The sequence below is a fragment of the Homo sapiens genome, chromosome 20, assembly GCF_000001405.40.
Source record: "Homo sapiens chromosome 20, GRCh38.p14 Primary Assembly".
In the NCBI taxonomy this organism is placed as follows: domain Eukaryota; kingdom Metazoa; phylum Chordata; class Mammalia; order Primates; family Hominidae; genus Homo; species Homo sapiens.
This window is the reverse complement of record NC_000020.11, coordinates 45,929,728-45,948,468: the sequence shown is the minus strand read 5'-3', so window position 1 is coordinate 45,948,468 and position 18,741 is coordinate 45,929,728. Positions and strand designations below refer to the sequence as shown.

At 53.7% G+C, this 18,741-nt stretch overlaps 1 protein-coding gene and 1 long non-coding RNA gene across 7 annotated transcripts, besides 8 other annotated features; one reads left to right on the top strand and one right to left on the bottom strand.

Annotated features, from left to right (window-relative positions):
* On the bottom strand, positions 449-13,786 carry PCIF1 (phosphorylated CTD interacting factor 1). 6 transcript variants are annotated; one of them, XM_011528980.4, is made up of 17 exons: positions 13,665-13,786; positions 10,771-11,051; positions 9,346-9,488; positions 9,130-9,254; positions 7,857-7,994; positions 7,530-7,660; positions 7,262-7,416; positions 5,225-5,372; positions 5,046-5,129; positions 4,704-4,803; positions 3,439-3,601; positions 2,586-2,758; positions 2,354-2,440; positions 2,085-2,269; positions 1,303-1,396; positions 1,031-1,206; positions 449-945 (listed from the first exon to the last, which is right to left on the bottom strand). In XM_011528980.4, the coding sequence occupies exons 3-17, from the start codon at positions 9,467-9,469 to the stop codon at positions 714-716; spliced, it is 2,115 nt and encodes a 704-aa protein (XP_011527282.1). In that variant the 5' UTR covers positions 9,470-9,488; positions 10,771-11,051; positions 13,665-13,786; the 3' UTR covers positions 449-713. The 6 variants fall into 6 exon arrangements, 5 of the variants coding, with proteins under 5 accessions (XP_011527282.1, NP_071387.1, XP_016883502.1 ...); NM_022104.4 differs by having other exon boundaries at positions 10,884-11,051; XM_017028013.3 differs by lacking the exon at positions 13,665-13,786 and adding an exon at positions 13,104-13,270.
* Positions 3,307-4,506: an enhancer, noted in NCBI's record as "MED14-independent group 3 enhancer chr20:44572602-44573801 (GRCh37/hg19 assembly coordinates)". NCBI's record gives its function as "activates an origin of replication core promoter dependent on BRD2, BRD4, P300/CBP and CDK7 cofactors, and independent of MED14, by STARR-seq in HCT116 cells {active_cell/tissue: HCT116}" and the evidence as "EXISTENCE:reporter gene assay evidence [ECO:0000049][PMID:35650434]".
* Positions 8,874-9,388: an enhancer, noted in NCBI's record as "H3K4me1 hESC enhancer chr20:44567720-44568234 (GRCh37/hg19 assembly coordinates)". NCBI's record gives its function as "activates a minimal SCP1, AML or CMV promoter by ChIP-STARR-seq in naive H9 embryonic stem cells {active_cell/tissue: H9 hESC(naive)}" and the evidence as "EXISTENCE:reporter gene assay evidence [ECO:0000049][PMID:30033119]".
* Positions 9,389-9,904: an enhancer, noted in NCBI's record as "H3K4me1 hESC enhancer chr20:44567204-44567719 (GRCh37/hg19 assembly coordinates)". NCBI's record gives its function as "activates a minimal SCP1, AML or CMV promoter by ChIP-STARR-seq in naive H9 embryonic stem cells {active_cell/tissue: H9 hESC(naive)}" and the evidence as "EXISTENCE:reporter gene assay evidence [ECO:0000049][PMID:30033119]".
* Positions 13,094-13,784: an enhancer, noted in NCBI's record as "NANOG-H3K27ac-H3K4me1 hESC enhancer chr20:44563324-44564014 (GRCh37/hg19 assembly coordinates)". NCBI's record gives its function as "activates a minimal SCP1, AML or CMV promoter by ChIP-STARR-seq in naive and primed H9 embryonic stem cells {active_cell/tissue: H9 hESC(naive and primed)}" and the evidence as "EXISTENCE:reporter gene assay evidence [ECO:0000049][PMID:30033119]".
* Positions 13,256-13,465: a silencer, noted in NCBI's record as "silent region_12967". NCBI's record gives its function as "represses an Ori minimal core promoter by ATAC-STARR-seq in GM12878 lymphoblastoid cells {active_cell/tissue: GM12878}" and the evidence as "EXISTENCE:reporter gene assay evidence [ECO:0000049][PMID:35858748]".
* On the top strand, positions 13,398-14,975 carry LOC107985388 (pre-mRNA-splicing factor cwc22-like). Its single transcript, NR_171669.1, has one exon. It is a non-coding gene; the product is annotated as a pre-mRNA-splicing factor cwc22-like (long non-coding RNA).
* Positions 13,785-14,476: an enhancer, noted in NCBI's record as "NANOG-H3K27ac-H3K4me1 hESC enhancer chr20:44562632-44563323 (GRCh37/hg19 assembly coordinates)". NCBI's record gives its function as "activates a minimal SCP1, AML or CMV promoter by ChIP-STARR-seq in primed H9 embryonic stem cells {active_cell/tissue: H9 hESC(primed)}" and the evidence as "EXISTENCE:reporter gene assay evidence [ECO:0000049][PMID:30033119]".
* Positions 14,736-14,885: an enhancer, noted in NCBI's record as "active region_17955". NCBI's record gives its function as "activates an Ori minimal core promoter by ATAC-STARR-seq in GM12878 lymphoblastoid cells {active_cell/tissue: GM12878}" and the evidence as "EXISTENCE:reporter gene assay evidence [ECO:0000049][PMID:35858748]".
* Positions 15,168-15,860: an enhancer, noted in NCBI's record as "H3K4me1 hESC enhancer chr20:44561248-44561940 (GRCh37/hg19 assembly coordinates)". NCBI's record gives its function as "activates a minimal SCP1, AML or CMV promoter by ChIP-STARR-seq in primed H9 embryonic stem cells {active_cell/tissue: H9 hESC(primed)}" and the evidence as "EXISTENCE:reporter gene assay evidence [ECO:0000049][PMID:30033119]".

Genomic DNA, 18,741 nt, shown 5'->3' with positions numbered 1-18,741 from the left:
CGAGAGCCCCAGCAAGCACCTTCAGACCTGCTTCCTCCCTGGGCCCTAGGGAGCACACGCTCTGTGCCTACAGATCCTCTGAAGCTGCTCTCCTGAGCCTTGACTGTGAGGCACACCCAGCTCTTCGCTCACTGTGGGGATCCAGGGCCAGCAAGAGTCTGGCTTTTGGGTTGGGGACAGGCACAGCTCCCAGTCCTCTGATCCCCAGGGGTATCCATACAGGCCCTGCTGGGGGAGTTTGGAGATAGGGGATGCAGGGCCTTGGACTCTTCGGACCTCCTGAGCCCAGGCAGAGGCCACCAGGGACCCAGCTGTGTGGGACCCCAGATGGGAGAGTGAAGGCCCAGGGGCCATGAGAAGGAGCTGCTGGAGGGAGGGAGGGGAGTGTGGTCCCAGAAGTAGCTCCAGCTGCCTCAGCCTTCTCTGCCCTCAAGACCCTCACACATTCTTGGGGGGGTTTCTGTATTTCCTTTTACAAATGAAACAAGGTGGCAACAGGGTGAGGGGCGGGGTTGGGAAGGCATCAGGACCTATATACATGGGACTTGGAGGGAGTTTGAGGTGAGGACTTGGGGACAGGCAGGGAGGGGAGCCCTGGCAGAACCATAATCTTCATATGTCAGTGGCAGCCGGGGTCCCTCTGAGGCCCCAGGGGCCCGAGTCCCAGCAGTCCAGACTAGCACCCCTGGGGCTCCTCCTCCCCGCAGGATATGTTAAGTGGGGTGAGGCTCGCGGCTAGGACCCTGCTCACGGCCCGAGTCCCGGTCCTTGGCCTCCGAGGAGGACGATGAGGAAGAACCAGAGCTGTGGCTGCGGCCTGACTGCCGGTAGGCAGCACTCAGCTCCTGCAGCCGTTCAGGCGTCGGCGCCCACTTGGCAAAGCCAGGGTCGTTCTGTAGGAAGAGCACAGCCGTGTTGTGGACGGCCTTGTAGTGCATTTCCTCCCTGCGGGCAAAGGCAATGGCTCAGGGTGGGGCTGGGCCTGGCCTGGCCAGCCCAGCCTCCTTCCCCTGCCCTCCCTGGCACCCACTTCTTGCAGATGTGCTGGGAGCCACTGCGGTACTCATGCTCAAAGGCAGGCAGGATCAACTGGTGGCGTTTGAAGCGGCTCTGCTCCATGCGGGTGAGCGCTGGTGTTGGGGGTTCCCGCCACTCAGGGATGAACACGATGAAGGACAGGGGCTCCGGTGAGCTCTCAAGCAGTCTCTGTGGAAGGGGACACAGGGTGGATGTCAGGGACTACCTCCCAGGTGGCTGGCAATCCTGCCTGTTGCCCACCTCTCACCCTGGCAGTGCACCCACCTCAAAGTGAGAGACCATGGCATCCATGAGCTCCTCGCAGAAGGGAGGGTTGGCCTCAAATGAACCACTCAGTGGAGCAAAGTCTAGGCAGGGCCTGGGGACAGGAGTGAGCATTCTAAGTCCCATCAGGACCCAGTCCCTCAACCAGAAACAGGTGCCACCCCCCAACCCTAGGCAGCCACACTGAAGAGATGGCCTGTCCAGAAGCCAGCATTCACCCTAATTCATTGGGGCACAAGGCATGACCGTCTCCACTGAATGAATGAGGACAGTGAGTGAGGCTCAGGCTGGGATGCCCATGTTCACCAAGCTGGAATTCAAATCCAGTTCTGAGCCCACCACCACCACAGCAGAAGCTACACCCAGGATCCCCAGCTGCTGAGCTCTGGACCTCTGGAGGTCCTGACCATTCTTCCTTCTGGAGACAGCATTACCTTCTCTCATCTGTGGTCACCTCAACCCCTAGTTTGTAAGGCCTCTGAGGTCTGTGGCCCCACTTCTCACTCCTCTCAGGGCCTGGGACCACGTGTTCCTATTCCACCCTGAACTGACTCACTGAGAAACCCACAGGCCAGCTTAGGGGTGTCACGTGCCTGCCCACAGAACCAGAAAAGCTCAGGCTCCCAGAAGTTAAGCAACATGTCCAAGGTCACATAGCCGGTAAGAGGTGGAGGCAGGGACTCCACCCAAGCCTGCCTGACACTACAGCCAGCAGAGGCGGGCCCTGTGCTCTGGAGGACCTCTTCCCTGGCCTGGGTAGAGGGGCAGCCCTTGGCCCTCACCCGCGGGAGCCAAAGTAGCCGTCTGTGTCGGGGAAGGCAGAACAGTACTGGCGGAAGTAGCAGTTGAGGGGTGAGGCGAAGCACTCGAAGCTGACGCCAAAGAGTCGGTGGAGGGCCTCAAAGACATGCACAGGCAGCGATCCCTGCAGGCCAGTCCCCTCGTAGAGGCCCACGCCGAACATCATCTGCGGAGTGGCCACCGTCAGCACCTGGGGCTCACCCTCCCTGTTCCCTCCTGGGGAGCCCTCCCTGCTGCCCCAGGCCTGTACCTGGTACCGTCGGAGAAGACACCAGACCCGGGGCAGGAACCTCTCAAAGGCAGAGTCATCAATGCAGCTGTAGCGGTAAAGGAGCCACTGTGGAGCGGGACAGAGAGGAGGAGCCTTCAGCAGTGCTCCCTCATGTCCTCATCACTGGCCTCCTGCTGGGGACTCTGCTCAGGAAAGATCCTAGGCCCTGACTCATGCCATCAGCTAGGGCCTTCCTCCCCGCAGCTCTTACCAGCTTGCTGAAGTAGTTGCGGCTGACCTTGACCATCTCTCCCTTATACCGGATGCAGACCACGTTGTTCTCCATGTGCATCTCCACGCTGGGCATGGGCGGTGCAGACACAGCCAGCCGGACTGGGTAGCAGTACACTAGGCGGGGCTCCACCTCAGGGGCCTCCACCTCCTCTGTGGGCAGGGAGAGCAGTGAGGGACCACACTCCTCATTCTCACGCTGCAGCCACTGTGGGCCACATGCTTTGTACCGAGAGAGGGAAGTCCCATTCCACAGATCAGTATACTCTGGCCCAGTTCAGTAGAAAGGGAATGAAAAGCCATAAAAAGAAACCAGCCAGGCAACTGGCCGGGGCAGAAACTGGTGGCCTGTGTCAACACACTCAGTACCGAAGCAGGGCCCCGTATGCCGTGCCTTGGGCTGTCAGGCAAGAAGGCTCAGGCCCGTGGGTTGTGCTGCCAGGCAGAAGAACGAGAACTGCATCGCCGTCATCGTAATAGCGACGATCCTTTATTTGGGGATCTTTTGGGGCCACATGGTTTACTTGAGTTACCTATGAGTACTCACACAATCCTACCACCAGGTGCTACACTTCAGTCTGGGGAAAGTAAGGCTTGCAGAGAATGGATGTAAATTCAGGTACACCTAACTACGACTCCCAGCTTATCTTCACCACCACCATCTGGCTCTCCCTTTATCACTTCTCCGTTTCCCAGAGAAGTACAGCCAAAGGACACAGGCAGGTTCTGCCCCAAACCAGTCCCTGGCCTTGAGGCTCAGTCTCACTTGTCCCTTCCATCAGGGTATAGAGCTGACGGCATCACAGCTGGCTCCTCCTTCACCTTTCCCCTACCTGAGATGTTGTTTTCCTTGAGGATGGCAAGGTGCTTCTCTCGGATCCGTTTGACGTACTCCAGGGAGATGTGGTAGATCTTACTGCAGATGCCTTCCACGGAGTCCTTGGCTGCGGCCGAGACGTGGGGGCCACACTGCCTCCGCAGATGCTCCAGGCGATCCTAGAGGACACATTCTGGATCAGGGCGCTAGTGGAGGCCAGAGGGGCTCAGCTGGGCTGGCAGGTAACCGCAGGGCTGTTGGAGTCCAGCAGTCCTTGTTTTGAAACCAGCTCTGCTGCTGACTAGCTGTGTCACTTGGACAAATCCCCTGGCTTCTCTCAATCTTATTCCTCAAGTGTCAAGGGGACACGAGATACCTAACAGGGCAGTTTGAATATTAAATGTGATCATTTCCCTTAAGGGCTTGCCAAATGCCTGGCATACAGTAAGTGTACAATAAATGCCAGTAGCTTTTGTTGGGGTTACACTGCTAGATCCCATGATAATTACCGGAGAAACAGACAAACCAGCACAGTCCCAGCTTATGGTGTTTGCAGTCTATTGGGGAAAGACACAATTACAAAACAGGGTGCTTGGTTGCTGCAGACTTGAGATTTGAGCTTTTAGCTACTTGCAAAGATGACTGTCGGGATTTGTAATTTTGCTGAATCACACGTGTAAAACTGAAGAGTGAGAATGAGTCACTCTGGCTAGTGAGTACACCTACCTTTGTCACTCTCTACGTGTCAAGTACACAGTTACTATCGTGAAGTGCGAAACCTTGTCTCTTGTGAAATATGGTCCTGAAAAGAAAGCCCATTGCTAGTGCTGGTGGAGAGGTTTAAGAAGTGATAGGTTTTGGCCAGAAAACAGAACTGTTTTGGACACATTAAGAGTAGGGAATTGAATCTGATGGTAGCTCTTAACCATGATATGAACACACACACCCAAAAAAAGCAGGCTGTCAATCTGTTTCCAAAAATCTACAAGGGAGATGCTGAACATTCATTAGGCTGAAAGGCAGCTATCTGTGGTGTGTGGCCAAGCATAAGACTCCATTAAGATTGTTAATGGAAATGTTCTGTGGGAGAAAGCCAGGAGCCCAGAGAAACATCTCCACAGTCATGAGTTTGGGGACTGACGAATGTCGAACGTCTGCCATACTGCACAAGAATAGGCCGCTGGGGGAGGCCTTGCCCAGCCTGGACAGGCAGAGTAGGCTTCCTGGAGGAAGTGGCCACAGAGCCCTAAAACTGGCCTTCTCACCCGGGGACCCACTCACCATGTAGTCCTCCTTGGAGGCTGAGTGGTCCTTCCGAAGCCAGCTAAAGGTGTCTTCCACATTCCATTTGACCACCTTCCTACTGTCAGGGGATGCACTCCTGCCAGTCAAGGGGAGGGCAGAAGAAAGGAATGGCTTGGCTCCACCCTCCTCATCCCAATTCCATGGGCTCGCTGGGTATCAACCCCTAGCTTCCATCACAGCCCTTGTTCTGCCTTTGGGAGCTGGCCCCACTTCTGCCACCGAGAGCAATGACAGCCCTGCATGAGACTGGGCAAGATGGCCTATGACCTGCCACTTTAATCACAGACCCATCTCGCCTGGGGCAGAAGACAGGCAAACCTGGACTCGATGAGCCGCCTGGCGGCCTCCGCATATTTAAAGAGCAGGCGCTTGGCTTCCTCCCGGAACTTGATTCGGGATAACCTGCGTTTCAGAGTGGGCAGAGTTAGAGGCCTTCTATACATGACTGGGCACAGAAACCAAATGGCCCAGGGTCATCCCCAGCTGTGGAGCTGTACCTGATAGGAATGTCGTTCATGATTTCACGAAACATGGAAGGTGACACGACTGGTTCACAGTTGCTGGGCAACAGGGGGTCAGATCCTTTGTCTACCACCTTGCGCTCCAGCATCCAGCGGTTGAAAGACTCCCGTGGAGGCTCAATGCCTGCAGGACAGGAGAGCTGCTGAAGGCCTGGATTTAATCAAGCAGTCCCACTTGGAGCTTGGCACGTATAGGAAGCATCGCATTCAGCAGTAAGCAAGACACAGTCCCACTTCAGAAGCTTCTAGGCTGCATTTCCCAAAATATATTCTAAGAATCACTAGTTTTATAGTGTTGATAAGTATCTAGCCAGGCGTAGTGGCTCACATCTGTAATCTCAGCACTTTGGAAGGCTAAGGTGGAAGGACAGCTTGAGCCCATGAGTTCAAGACCGGCCTGGGCAACACAGTAACAGCCTGTCTCTACAAAAAAAAAAAAAAAAAAAAAAAAAAAGAAATTAGCTGGGTGTCCCAGCTCCTCGGGAGGCTGAGGCGGGAGGATCGCTTGAACCCGGGTGGCTGAAGCTGCTGTGAGCTGTGGTCGTGCCACTGCACCCCAACCTGGGTGACAGAGCGAGACCTTGTTTCAAAAGAAAAGAATAAAAAGGCTGGGCGCAGTGGCTCACGCCTGTAATCCCAGCACTTCAGGAGGCCGAGATGGGTGGATCACCTGAGGTCAGGAGTTAGAGACCAGCCTTGCCAACATGGAAAAAACCCATCTCTACTAAAAATACAAAAATTAGCTGGGTGTGGTGGCATGTGCCCATATTCCCAGCTACTAAGGAGGCTGAGGCAGGAGAATCGCTTGAACCTGGGAGGCAGAGGTTGCAGTGAGCCGAGACCGTGCCATTGCACTCCAGCCAGGGCAACAAGAACAAAACTCCATCTTAGAAAAAGAAAAAAAAAAAAAAGTATTACATAATGTAAAAAAAAAAAAAAAAAGGGTGGGCCGGGTGCGGTAGCTCACGCCTGTAATCCCAGCACTTTGGGAGGCCAAGGCGGGTGGATCACAAGGTCAAGAGATCGAGACCATCCTGGCCAACATGGTGAAACCCCATCTCTATTAAAAGTATAAAAATTAGCTGGGCGTGGTGGCAGGCACCTGTAGTCCCAGCTACTCAGGAGGCTGAGGCAGAAGAATCGCTTGAACCCGGGAGGTGGAGGTTGCAGTGAGCCGAGATCACGCCATTGCACTCCAGCCTGGGCGACAGAGCGAGACGCCGTCTCAAGAAAAAAAAAAATTAAAAAAAAAAAAAAAAAGGTGAAAGGCCAGAGGATTCTATATTTGAGCAAGGTTAAATAGGTTTATTACTAATCATAAAAATTAAAAACTAGGCCAGGCATGGTGGCTCACATCTGTAATCCCAGCACTGTGGGAGGCCAAGGCAAGCAGAAGGCTTGAGCCCAGGAGTACAAGACCAGCCTGGGCAACATAGCCAGATCCTGTCTCTTAAAAAAAAATTAGCCAGGTGTGGTGGCTCATGCCTGTAATCCCAGCACTGTGGGAGGCTGAGGCGGGCGCATCACAAGGTCAGGAGTTCAGGACCAGCCTGGCCAACATCGTGACACCCCCATCTCTATTAAAAATACAAAAATGAGCTGGGCATGGTGGTGTACACCTGTAATCCCGCTACTCGGGAGGCTGAGGCAGGAGAATTGCCTGAACCGGGACCCAGGAGGAGGATGATGCAGTGAGCGGAGATGGTGCCACTGCACTCCAGCAGGGGCTACAGAACAAGACTCCATCTCAAAAAAAATAAATAAATAAAATTAAAAACTACAGTTCATTTAATACTTATTCATTTTACTTAATGGTTATCATAGAATCCTAAGGTATAGATACTCTTGTTTTTTTGAAAGAGGGTCTTGCTCTGTCACTCAGGCTGGAGTGCACTGGTGTGATCATGGCTCACCACTGGGCCCCACTCCGCCATCCCCAAACTGGCCTGGCCAAACCTGGCTCATGCTAAAGGTGGGTGGAAATAAAGGAGGCTGCAGCCCAGAGGCAGGTACCCTCTCGCTGCTGGCACAGCTCCCGATAGTGCTGCCGAAGCTTCAGGATGAGCTGAGAGCGGAGCAGTTCCACTTCGGGATGCGGGGGCAGCACCTCTGAAGGCCCCCGGTGCTTGATGACAGCATTGGTCTGGATGTCCAGGTCCCAGTAGACCCTTGGGGCACAGAGAGGAGTGATGAGGATGTCCTGCCCACCCACACCACCCCACAGTCCCAGACAGGCTGACATTAGCAATGGGTGCCCCCAAGCCAATCAGCAGGGACTCACTCAGTGGGTCGTAGGAGAGCTGCCTGCTGTTTATCTTCAGGGGACGTACCCCACATCTTCAGCGTTGGGGTTCCTGGGATACTGGGGGAGCTGGGCACCGACTGGCCTGTGGGTGTCACTGGGATTTCAATCTGTAGTGAAAGTCACAAAGGTGTCAAGTCAGGAGATTCACCAGAGAGGCTCCATCCAATACAGTGCACACCTGGTGAACTGTGTCCCAGGCCCCCCTCCTGGCTGGCCTGCCAATGCCCAGCCCCTGCAGGGAGCCTGCAGGCGGCCCGTCTGAGCCGGCCGCTCGGCAGCCGGCTCCTGGCCACAGACACTCACCTTGGGCTTCTTCACACCATTGCCGCTTGGCTGCTCTTCCGAGAGCTGCCGCTTTCTGGGCTTGTTCTCAGCCGGGGGAGTTTCCACCAAGCTTGAGTCTTGGGGCAGTGGGGTCGCATTCAGCCCCAAAGGGTCCGACTGGTGGAGGGAGACCAGCAGAGTTGCAACCAGGGCCAGCGGCTTAGGAGCCACAGGACTTTGAATCCTCACGCCCTCCCACCCCTGCTCCTACTCCTTAGGGAAGAGCAGAGGAGCTGGGATACAGGCAGAGAACACTGGGCTCCAGTCCTGCCTGCAACTTGCAACTGTGCGACAGGGTGTGTTACTTCCCTTCCAGTTCTCTCACCTTCAGAATGGCCATGCTAATCCCTACATCACCACTGAGATTATTAAATGAGTCAGTGAATATGACCTGCTTAACATGGCATCTGGCATGAGATCAGTACTCATTACACATTATTTTCCTCAAGAACAGAATGAATGTGAGGAATAAATGAAAAGCTCAAAAACTGCTTATTGTTGTAAAAAGCAAGGCCCTGCAGATGGGACTCTTGGTAACACTGAGAGAATGCATGGTGGTGAGTAGTGTGGCCCTGAACTCACATCAGGTGTGCGTCCTGCTCTGCCTATTACTGTGAGGTCTCGTGCCAGTCGTTCCCCATCTTTGAACCTCAGTGTCTTCACATGCAAAATGAAGATGCCAACTGTCTCAACTGTGCCCAGTAAAGAAATGCTGCCCCAGCTGAGAAGGACCCAAAAGCCCATGTTCCCACCAGACAGCCCATGCCTGTACTTCCCGTCGTACTGACATGTCAGATCCTAGAATGTTCTTTTCCTCCCCACACTCACTCACTCTCTCACCTTAAACACTCATTCTCAGAGCTTTTCCCATCTCCTTGCCTTCCCCAGAGTATGTCAGGATCTAGATGTATTCTAACACTATTCCTCATACACGGACCACAAGTGTAATCCTGCTGTCACCTGGCAGCCCATGGGTGCTCTGCGACCGTAGGGAGCAAGTCTGCCTTGTTCATTCCTGCCTCGCGGCACAGCACCCACCGTGCAGCAGCCATGCAATCATCTGTTTACTTGTCAGTCTACCCCATTTGAGTGTAGGTTCCATGAGGGCAGGGGCTGTGTCTGTCTTGCTTGTCATTGTATCTGCAGGTGCCAGCACAGGGCTGGGCACTGAACGGCTGCTCAGGGTACATTTGGGGAAGGCCCAGGTGCCAGAGGCCACTCTGAGACCCCCCCACCCTAGGCTGGCACTCACAATCACATCGTGCTGCCCCAGCACGGGCATCTCCCACAGGGACTGGTTGGTGAATCGGTTGAAGTAGTAGGGACGATTCTCCCTCCGGCTCCAGCACTTCTCCCAGCCTGCATGCACCAGCTCCTCTGCAAACAGGCACGGAGCCCAGCCAGGGTCAGGACTGCTCCCAGGGTGCCCTTCCTACCCCACCACCCCACTACTGCTCCCCCTCAGTACCTGGGAGGTCCTGAACCAGGCGGATTGGCTTTGGAGAACAGGGCTGGCTCTGATTGGAGGTACCTGGGGAGTGACTCAGCAGGGACGCTTCCTCCCGGGGGCTGCCGTGATTCTCATTGGCCATCTCCACACCCACACAGGACCTGCCACACAGAGGACCAAAGAGTGTCAGCTCCACCCCCTCACCCGCCAATTACAATCCACCCAGGGCCCCAGTGACCACCCACCGATGTGGAGAAATCCAATCAGGTCCTATCCTGGAGGGCCAGCATGGTGCCACACAGCAGCCCTGGGATCTAAGCTGCAATTCCAGCTGTTCAATGGGTGCACTCCTGCTGCTTCCTCTGCCTGAAATGCCCCTCCCCCTCTTCTCTGCCTGGCTTGCTACTGGGTTCACATCCTCCAGGAAGCCTTCCTTGACTCTCCCCTCCCCAGGCCAGGTGGTCAGAGCTCCTCCTCAGGGCCGTGAACACCTCTGTCGTAGCACTCAGATGGTCTCATCTATCAGCTGGGTTTGTCTCCCCACTAAACTGTCAGAACTTCCAGAAATAGGAACTGCGTCCAATTCAGCTCTCTCCTGTGCTCAGGCCTAGGACCTGGACCCAACAGGAGCACTACTGATTCTGCAAATATTTACAAAGCACCAAGAGCAGCAAAAAAGACAGAACAGGGTCTGCCCTTGAGAAGCGATTCCTACAAGAAGGAATAGTAACAACTCCCAGAAGGAGATGGGATTTTACTGCTCTCATCCAGTAAAATCTAAAAGGAACAAAGCACACTAGGGAAGGGCATGGAATCTAATTGGTCACCTTATTTTACACTACATGGCAGGAAGCAGCTATTGCTAAAATAACCAATGCAACCAAGAAGGACTATCTAATTGACTCCTTCATAATCCCCAGGTGAATATTTACTGTAAGTACCAGCAAGGAGGCCAGTTCCTTCAGATCTGTATTCCCTACTCCCCCACCCAAAGCACACCCAGCAACAGCCTCAGGAGCCAAAGTGCTTCTGGCCTGGGGCTGTCAGACAACTGGGAGCTAACTGAGATAGAACTGGTGATGCTAAAGTTGTTTTCAGTAGGTCACACCACCCAAAAGAAATCAAACTTTTGCCCACAACAAGACCACAAAGGCAGGCTTAAACATCAGTTATCTTTTCATGCTGAAATTTTATCAACTCATTGTGGTCACACTGATTATCTCATGCTGATCAGAAGCTCTGATTGGTTGTTGATGACATCATACGAATCATTGGGACACTGATTTTATTGTACACTCCATCATAGACGTCTTCCTTAATTTAGGAAGGGAAAAGTCAATGGTTACTCCATCAGTACAGTTTGGCAGATAAAAATGCAGGGGGCAACAGGACATATGTACAACAAAAAGTGCCTTGATAACAAAAAGGTTGAGAACCACTGACCAAGGTACGAAAAAAATGAAGCTGCCTTGATTCTCTGGGCAGGAAGAATTCCTGATGCCTTGGGGGCTGAGCACACAGGTTTCAAGACTGAATGAAGTCCCCCTTTCTCTCACCCTCTGGGGTCTGCAACGTTAGCATGAGAGGCTTTTCTTCTCCAGCCGGATGGACCCCCACAGGGTCCCACAGAGGCAAGGAAAGGCCTGCAGGAAGACTCAGCACAGGCGAATGGGCTGGTCAGCAGTGGAGTGGACGGGAGCCCAGGGGATTCCTTGCATCAGCAGCTGGAAAGCAAATAGGAAAACAGTCACAGACCTGTGGGATGCTGCAGGGCAGGGACAAGAGGGACAAAAACAAAGAGCAAGTTGGGGGCCTCCAGGGCAGGACACACCGGGAGAGGGGATGAGGGAATACAGGGGATGAAAATGATACCTCTTAAGCTTTCTCACCAATAGGTTTGCTTTCATGGGCATGTGACCTGCACGGCTGCACAGGGATCCACATTCAGGAAAGCCCTGAGCTTGGTGTAAGGCTCTGCCGTCACTGTCTTAAAATTTTTAATAACTTTTTAACAAGGAGCTCACATTTACATTTTGCACACTGGGCCCCACAAACTCTGTAGCCAGTCCTGCCAACTGAAGTACCCTTAGGCTGGGCACGTGGCTTTGGCAACTTGGGAGCTGGGCTAGGAGTTCAAAACCAGCCTCGGCAACATAGTGAGCCCCCAGCTCTACAACAAATAAAGCTTTTTGTTTGGTTGGTTTTGGTTTCCTTTGAGACGGAGTGAGACTCCATCACCCAGGCTGGAGTGCATTGCACGATCTCGACTCACTGCAACCTCCAACTCCTGGGTTCAAGCGATTCTCCTGTGTCAGCCTCTCAGTAGCTGGGATTACAGGCATGAGTCACAGCTGGCTAATTTTCTGTACTTTTAGTAGAGACGGGATTTCACCATGTTGGCCAGGCTGGTCTCGAACTTCTGACCTCAAGAGATCCACCCACCTGGGCCTCCTAAAGTGCTGGGATTACAGGTGTGAGCCACTGCGCCGGGCCCAAATAAAAAAAAATTGCACCTGCAGTCCCAGCTACTCAGGAGGCTGAGGTGGAAGGGTCACTTGAGCCCAGGAGTTCGAGGCTGCAGTGAAGTATGATCATGCCACTGTGCTCCAGCCTGGGTGACAGGGCAAGACCTCATCTCTTAAAAAATAAAAGAGGCCGGGCGCGGTGGCTCACGCCTGTAATCCCAGCACTTTGGGAGGCCCAGATGGGCGGATCACGAGGTCAGGAGATCGGGACCATCCTAGCTAACACAGTGAAACCCCGTCTCTACTAAAAATACAAAAAAAAAAAAAAAAAAAAATTAGCCCGGCGTGGTGGCGGGAGCCTGTAGTCCCAGCTACTCGGGAGGCTGAGGCAGAAGAATGGCATGAACCCAGGGGGCGGAGGTTGCAGTGAGCTGAGATCGCGCCACTGCACTCCAGCCCAGGCGACAGAGCAAGACTCCGTCTCAAAATAAATAAATAAAAATAAAAAATAAAATAAAGTACCCTTAGACCAGAGAAAAATCAACAAACATACCTATCACTGATCTGTGGGGGCACAATCCCAAGCCTCCCACAGCAAGTCAAAGACACGCTCTGAATAATGTCTTGCAAAAACAAAAACATGCAAACACATTATGTGACACATCTTGTTCGCCTTTATTGAAAAATATTTTCCCCAAGAAACATCCTGTGATATTGATGCACCGGGTAGATGAACTTTGCAGAATACGCACAAGCGGCACAGCTTAGTGTGAGGCTAAATGGGGACACTGCAGTATTTCCAAAGCCAGCTGTGCATCAGAATCATCTTGGAGTTTGTAAAAAAAAAAAAAAAATCAGACTCCTGTGCCTCACTGCGCATCTCAGAAGCCAGAAATAAATACGGAGGTGAGGCACACAAGAATTTGTATTTTTAAAACGCACCGTAAGAGTGACTGGGAGACAGGATGACTCATTTTTTCACACTATTTGAAAAAATGTACCCATTTTTTGCAATTAAAACCATTTTTAATTTCCTATGTGACTTGAGCGCAGCAGGTCTGTGGCCGAAGTACCAGCCCCTGGGTTGGACAGACCCGGATTCCGGGCCCTTCTGCTTTCCGGCTTATAAACCGGAATCACTCGACCGTTATATGTAGAGTCCAGCATTGTACGCTCCCAGTAAGACATAACTGCTCTTAAGTTAACGTCTTTATTTATCCTGTGGCTTCCCGACCCCCACGCATACCGCAGTTTGAGAATTACCGCTGCTCAAGGATAAACAACTCTATCTGCGCAACCAGAAAAACCCACCAGAAGCCAGAGTCCGAGTCCGGGATTGGAGGCACGTGGGGCGGGACCATCTCCGCAATGTACCAATCAGAATTCTCCGGCCCAGTAGGGAGGAGTCAAAGGGCGAACAAAGTACGCAGGCGCGACGGCGCACGAAGGCGAGAGGCGAGCTCCAGCGCGCGCGCGCGCGCGCACCTTCCCCTCCCCCTACCCCAGCGAGGGTGGGCTGTTTGGCGCGCGCGCGCGCGCCGGCCCATCTCTCGGGCTCCGCCCCCCGCCCCGCCGCGCGCTCCCGCCCCCGGGCTGAGGCGACTCAGAGTCGGAGCCCGACACAAAGGCGGTGGCGGCGGCAGCAGCGGAGGGGCCCTAGAGCCCGCTCCGCTGGGGCTCTCCGGGCCCACCTCCCTCACTTCGGCCACCGGCGCGGCCGCCCACCCGCGGGTCTAAGATGGCGGCGGCAACAGAGACAGGGCAAGCGGCAGTCCCGAGCAGAAAGCGCCGGAGGGGCCGCCGCCCCCCAGCTTCGGATCCCCAGACCCTGGCGCGGCTCGCTGCGGGACCATGGCTTCCTGGGACTCTTACCTGCCCGGAGCGGACTGGAGGGGACGCGGCTACACGTTCTGCTCGACCGCCCGTTTTGCCGCCTCCGCCTCGCCCTCCCCAGCGCCGCTGCCGCCATCTTGTGTCCCGGGCCGGGACTCCGCGCTGCGCATGCGCTGGTACCGCCTCTGAGGGACCTCGCCGCGGCCGCGCCGCCATCTTGAGTGTGGCAGGGTCGGCTGGCTCCTCGCACCCAGCTTGCTTTCGGCCCCCTCCCCTTCTTCCCATCCGTCCCTGCTGTTCCTTGTGGCGCTGAGGAAGGGGAGACAGCTTTGTAGGCCTGCGGGTGGACTGAGGAAGGAATGAATTCACTGGCACGTCCCCGCCTCAGTTTCCCCCTCGAGCACACACGCAGGAGCCGGATGTTCGCGGTGGGCGGTGCGCGGCGGGGTTGGACTGAGCGTGCGCACTGGGGGGCGTGGGGGCTGTCTTAGAACCTGCGGGGGTCTCGGGTTCTGCCGCCGGCCCAGGGGAGGCATCGTGGTGACGTAGGCTCCGGACGTAGCAAGGACCTGGGTCCTGGCACCCGCGCGGCTCTGCCTCTTCCAGCCAGTCTCTTTCCCTCTCTGGGCCTTTGTGCTGCGTGGTGTCCAAATGTTAAGAAGCCCTGCCCCATGCCCGGGCTACATATACATCGAACCCAAGCTGTAAATGCTCTTGAGTAGAAGCAACTTAAACTAGCCTTCGGGGGCAAGTAATAGAGATGGCTTTCGGCAGAGTTGGGAAATCAACTAAATGCATTGTAGGGCCTTTCCAACATTGACATCTGTGGCCATTAGTTGCAGTTCAAAGCCTCACTGAGCCCTCAAACCAGCTACAGCGGGTAGCCTGGCAGGGAACTGGCAGCTGTGAGGTGCTCCTCATCCGGCTCCCTGCAGGATTCTTTTTGGTAGGAGCCTGCAGGCGTCCGAGTGGTAGCTCCACCCATCTCCGGTCTCCCCAGCAAGCATCCCTTCCAGTGCTAGCTTGAGAAGAGGAAAAGCTTGCCACCTGCTGTCAGACCGGCGCTTGTGTGGAGCCAGGGGCTGTAGGTACCCCGGCTGAGTAGCCTCTCAGATGTCCATGGTCCTGGCTGCACGCCAGCGTGGGGGCAGGCAGGCGGACGCTCAAGAAAAACGGAGGCACCGATATGAGTAGTAATTGAGAACGAGGGTTCATGATCCTCATCTGATTTCAATCCCTGCTCCTCCACCCAAAATGTGTGGCCTTGAAGGAGTTAACCAATTTAAATTTTAGTTTCCTCAGTGGAAGATAATAAATCCGCCTACCTCATAAAGGTTTGGTGAGAATTAACTCAGGTGATGCATGTGAAGTCCTCAGCGCAATACCTGGCGCTTCCTAAGTGCTGAATCGGTTAGCCGTGATCATCTCACAGTGGCATGAGCATTGCTCCAAGTAGATTTGAGCCCTCCAGAAATAAGCCAGCTCTATATAGGCACAGCAGTTCTGCCCTCGCAGAGCTTCTCGTTCAGATAAGAGGCCTGATGGGAAACCAGACTCCTGGGTCCTGTCTCAGTTCTGGAAGGGTGGGGGGCCAGCTTTGATTTATGCCTGCTGCCCTGGCATAATTACTAATATTGCCTCCTTTTTCAGAAGTGCCCTGCTTTGGGCCGGGCGTGGTGGCTCACCCCGGTAATCCCAGCACTTTGGGAGGCCGACGCAGGTGGACCACCTGAGGTCAGGAATTCAAGACCAGCCTGGCCAACACGGCGAAACCCCGTCTCTACTAAAATTACAAACATGAGCCAGGCCTGGTGGCGCGCGCCTGTAATCCCAGCTACTCGGGAGGCTGAGGCAGGAGAATCACATGATCCCGGGAGGCAGAGGTTGCAGTGAGTCGAGATCGCGCCACTGCACTCCAGCCTGGGCGACAGAGTGAGACTCCTGTCTCAAAAAAAAGTACTGCTTTGGGCAGTAAACTACGTGGTCGCTCTTGACCTACGGGATAACCAGTTTTCCATGCTCATGCCCCCCAGCTAGCCCGCGCTTTCACTAAAGTTTAAAAACCATGTAGTGATTATTACCCTTTTTTTTTTTTGAGACGAAATCTCGCACTGTCGCCCGGGCTGGATTGCAGTGGCGCGATCTCGGCTCACTACAACCTCTGCCTCCCGGGTTCAAGCAATTCTCCTGCCTCAGCCTCCCAAGTAGCTGGGATTATAGGCACCCGCCACCACTCCCACCTAATTTTATTTGTATTTTTAGTAGAGACGGTGTTTCACGATGTTGGCCAGGCTGGTCTCAAACTCCTGACCTCATGATCCGCCCGCCTCGGCCCCCCAAAGTGCTGGGATTACAGGCGTGAGCCACCGCGCCCGGCCTTTTATCTATTCTTTTATGTTTTCAAAGTATTTTCTCATTCATTGTTCAGATTCTCTTAATTGATAACCAAGATACCAAACATCCCAAGTGCCTAGTCTTCTGTTTTATCATGGAATTCTGTGAATTATTACCTAAATCTGCACATGAGCAAACAGGTTGGAGCGAGGGGCAGGGGCGAAGTCATTGTCCAGGTTCACACAGCCATCAACAAGTAACAAAACTGGGATTTTAAGCCCGGAGTTCTCAACACCAAAATGCAGGGCTGGTTCCATTAAACCACTCTGGCCTCCCTGTTTTGTGAAGAAGGGATCTAGATTCAGGCGATGTGACTGGTCTGAGTGGACACAGTGGCCCTGGATAGTTCAATCTTTTTTTTTTTTTTTTTTTTTGAGACGGAGTTTCGCTCTTGTTGCCCAGGCTGGAGTGCAGTGGTGCAATATCGGCTCACTGCAACCTCCGCCTCTAGGGTTCAGGCGATTCTCCTGCCTCAGCCTCCTGAGTAGCTGGTGTTACAGGCATGCGCCACCACGCCCGGCTAATTTTGTATTTTTAGTAGAGACGGGGTTTCTCCCTGTTGGTCAGGCTGGTCTCGAACTTCCCACCTCAGGTGATCCGCCCACCTCGGCTTCCCAAAGTGCTGGGATTACAGACGTGAGCCACCGCCTCCGGCCTGGATAGTTAAGTATCTTAAAGGTTTCTCTATCTCACAGTGTTCAGCACTGCTTTTCACCTGATACATGCCTCATCTTCTCCGTTTGCTCACTTTCCGCATGTCAAAACCAGCCTCTTCTCAGCTGGGTGCGGTGGCTCACGCCTGTAATCCCAGCACTTTGGGAGGCCAAAGCGGGTGGATCACCTGAGGTCAGCAGTTTGAGACCAGCCTGGCCAACAGGGTGAAAGCCCATCTGTACTAAAAATACAAAAATTAGCTGGGCATGGTGGCAAGCGCCTGTAATTCCAGCTACTCAGGAGGCTGAGGCAGGAGAATCGCTTGAACCCGGGAGGAAGAGGTTGCAATGAGCCGAAATCACACCATTGCACTCTAGCCTAGGTGACAGGAGCAAAACTCCGTCTCAAACAAAACAAAACCCAACCTCTTCTCACCATTCTAATGACTACCTTAAGAGCTGGCGTTTCCCACCCCTACCCCCCTTTTTTTTAGAAGCAGAGTCTCAGTCTATCTCCCAGACTGATGTGCACTCATAGCTCATTGTAACCTTGAACTCCTTGCCTTAAGCAATCCTCCTGCTTCAGCCTTCCAAAGTGCTGGGATTACAGGCATGAGCCACCACACACAGCCCAATTTTGTTTTGTTTTTTGAAAAGGAGTCTTGCTCTGTCGCCCAGGCTAGCGTGCAGTGGCGCGATCTCGGTTCACTGCAACCTCTGCCTCCCAGGTTCAAGTGATTCTTCTGCCTCAGCCTCCCGAGTAGCTGAGATTACAGGTGCCCGCCACCATGCCCGACTAGTTTTTTTTTTTTTTTTTTTTTTTTTTTTTGTATTTTTAGTATAGACGGGATTTCACCACGTTGGCCAGGCTGGTCTCGAACTCCTGACCTCAGGTGATCCACCCACCTCAGCCTCCCAAAGACAAATTTTTAAAACCTTTTTATTGTTAAGAATAGCATATGGGGCTGGGTGTGGTGGCTCACACCTGTAATCCCAGCACTTTATCCCAGGAGGCCTAAGCGGGCAGATCATGAGGTCAGGAGATCGAGTCCATCCTGACCAACATGGTGAAACCCCATCTCTACTAAAATACAAAAAATTAGCCGGGCACGGTGGCACGCGCCTGTAGTTCCAGCTACTCCGGAGGCTGAGGCAGGGACACCACTTGAACCTGGGAGGCAGAAGCTGCAGTGAGCCAAGATCGCACCACTGCACTCTAGCCTGGTGACAGAGCAAGACTCCGTCTCAAAAAAAAAAAAAAAATAGTGTATGATAGACTGGCACAGTAGCTCATGCCTGTAATCACCAACACTTTGGGAGGCCAAAGTGGGAGGATACCTTGAGGTCAGGAGTTAAGAGACCAGCCTGGGCAATGTAGCAAGACCCTGTCTCTGAAAAATGTTTTAAATAAAATTAGCCGGGCATGGTGGCATGGGCCTGTAATTCCAGCCACTTGGGAGTCTGAGGTGGGAGGATCACTTGAGCCCTGGACGTCGAAGCTGCAGTTAGCTGCACTCCAGCCTGGGCGACAGAGACCGTGTCTTAAACATAGCTGGGCGCAGTGGCTCATGCCTGTAATTCTAGCACTTTGGGAGGTGGAGGTGGGTGGATTGCTTGAGTCCAGGAGTTTAAGACCAGCCTGGGCAACATGGTGAAACCTGCGTCTCTACAAAAAACACAAAAATTAGCCAGGTGCGGAAGCACACACCTGTAGTCCCAGCTACTTAGGGGGCTGAGGTGGGAGGATCACTTGAGCCCAGGCGGTCAAAACTGCAGAGAGCTATGATCATGCCACTGCACTCCAGCCTGGGCAACAGAGCAAGACCCTGTCTCAAAAAAATGTATACAAAATAGACTGGGCATGGTGGCTCACGCCCGTAATCCCAGTACTTTGGGAGGCCGAGGCGGGTAGATCACAAGGTCAGGAGTTTGAGACCAGCCTGGCCAACATAGTGAAACATCGTCTCTACTAAAAATACAAAAAAATTAGCTGGGTGTGGTGGTGCATGCCTATAGTCCCAGCTACTCAGAAGGCTGAGGCAGGAGAATCGCTTGAACCTGGGAGGCAG

What these genes read in the sequence shown, in the direction of transcription:
- PCIF1 (XM_011528980.4), bottom strand. Translation starts at nt 9,469, where the DNA reads ATGGCCAATGAGAATCACGGCAGCCCCCGGGAGGAAGCGTCCCTGCTG. An exon ending in GCTCTCCTACGACCCACTGA is followed by an intron (nt 7,417 to 7,529) that starts GTGAGTCCCTGC and finishes CTGTGCCCCAAG; the next exon opens with GGTCTACTGGGACCTGGACA. An exon ending in GCAACTACTTCAGCAAGCTG is followed by an intron (nt 2,441 to 2,585) that starts GTAAGAGCTGCG and finishes CCCGCTCCACAG; the next exon opens with TGGCTCCTTTACCGCTACAG.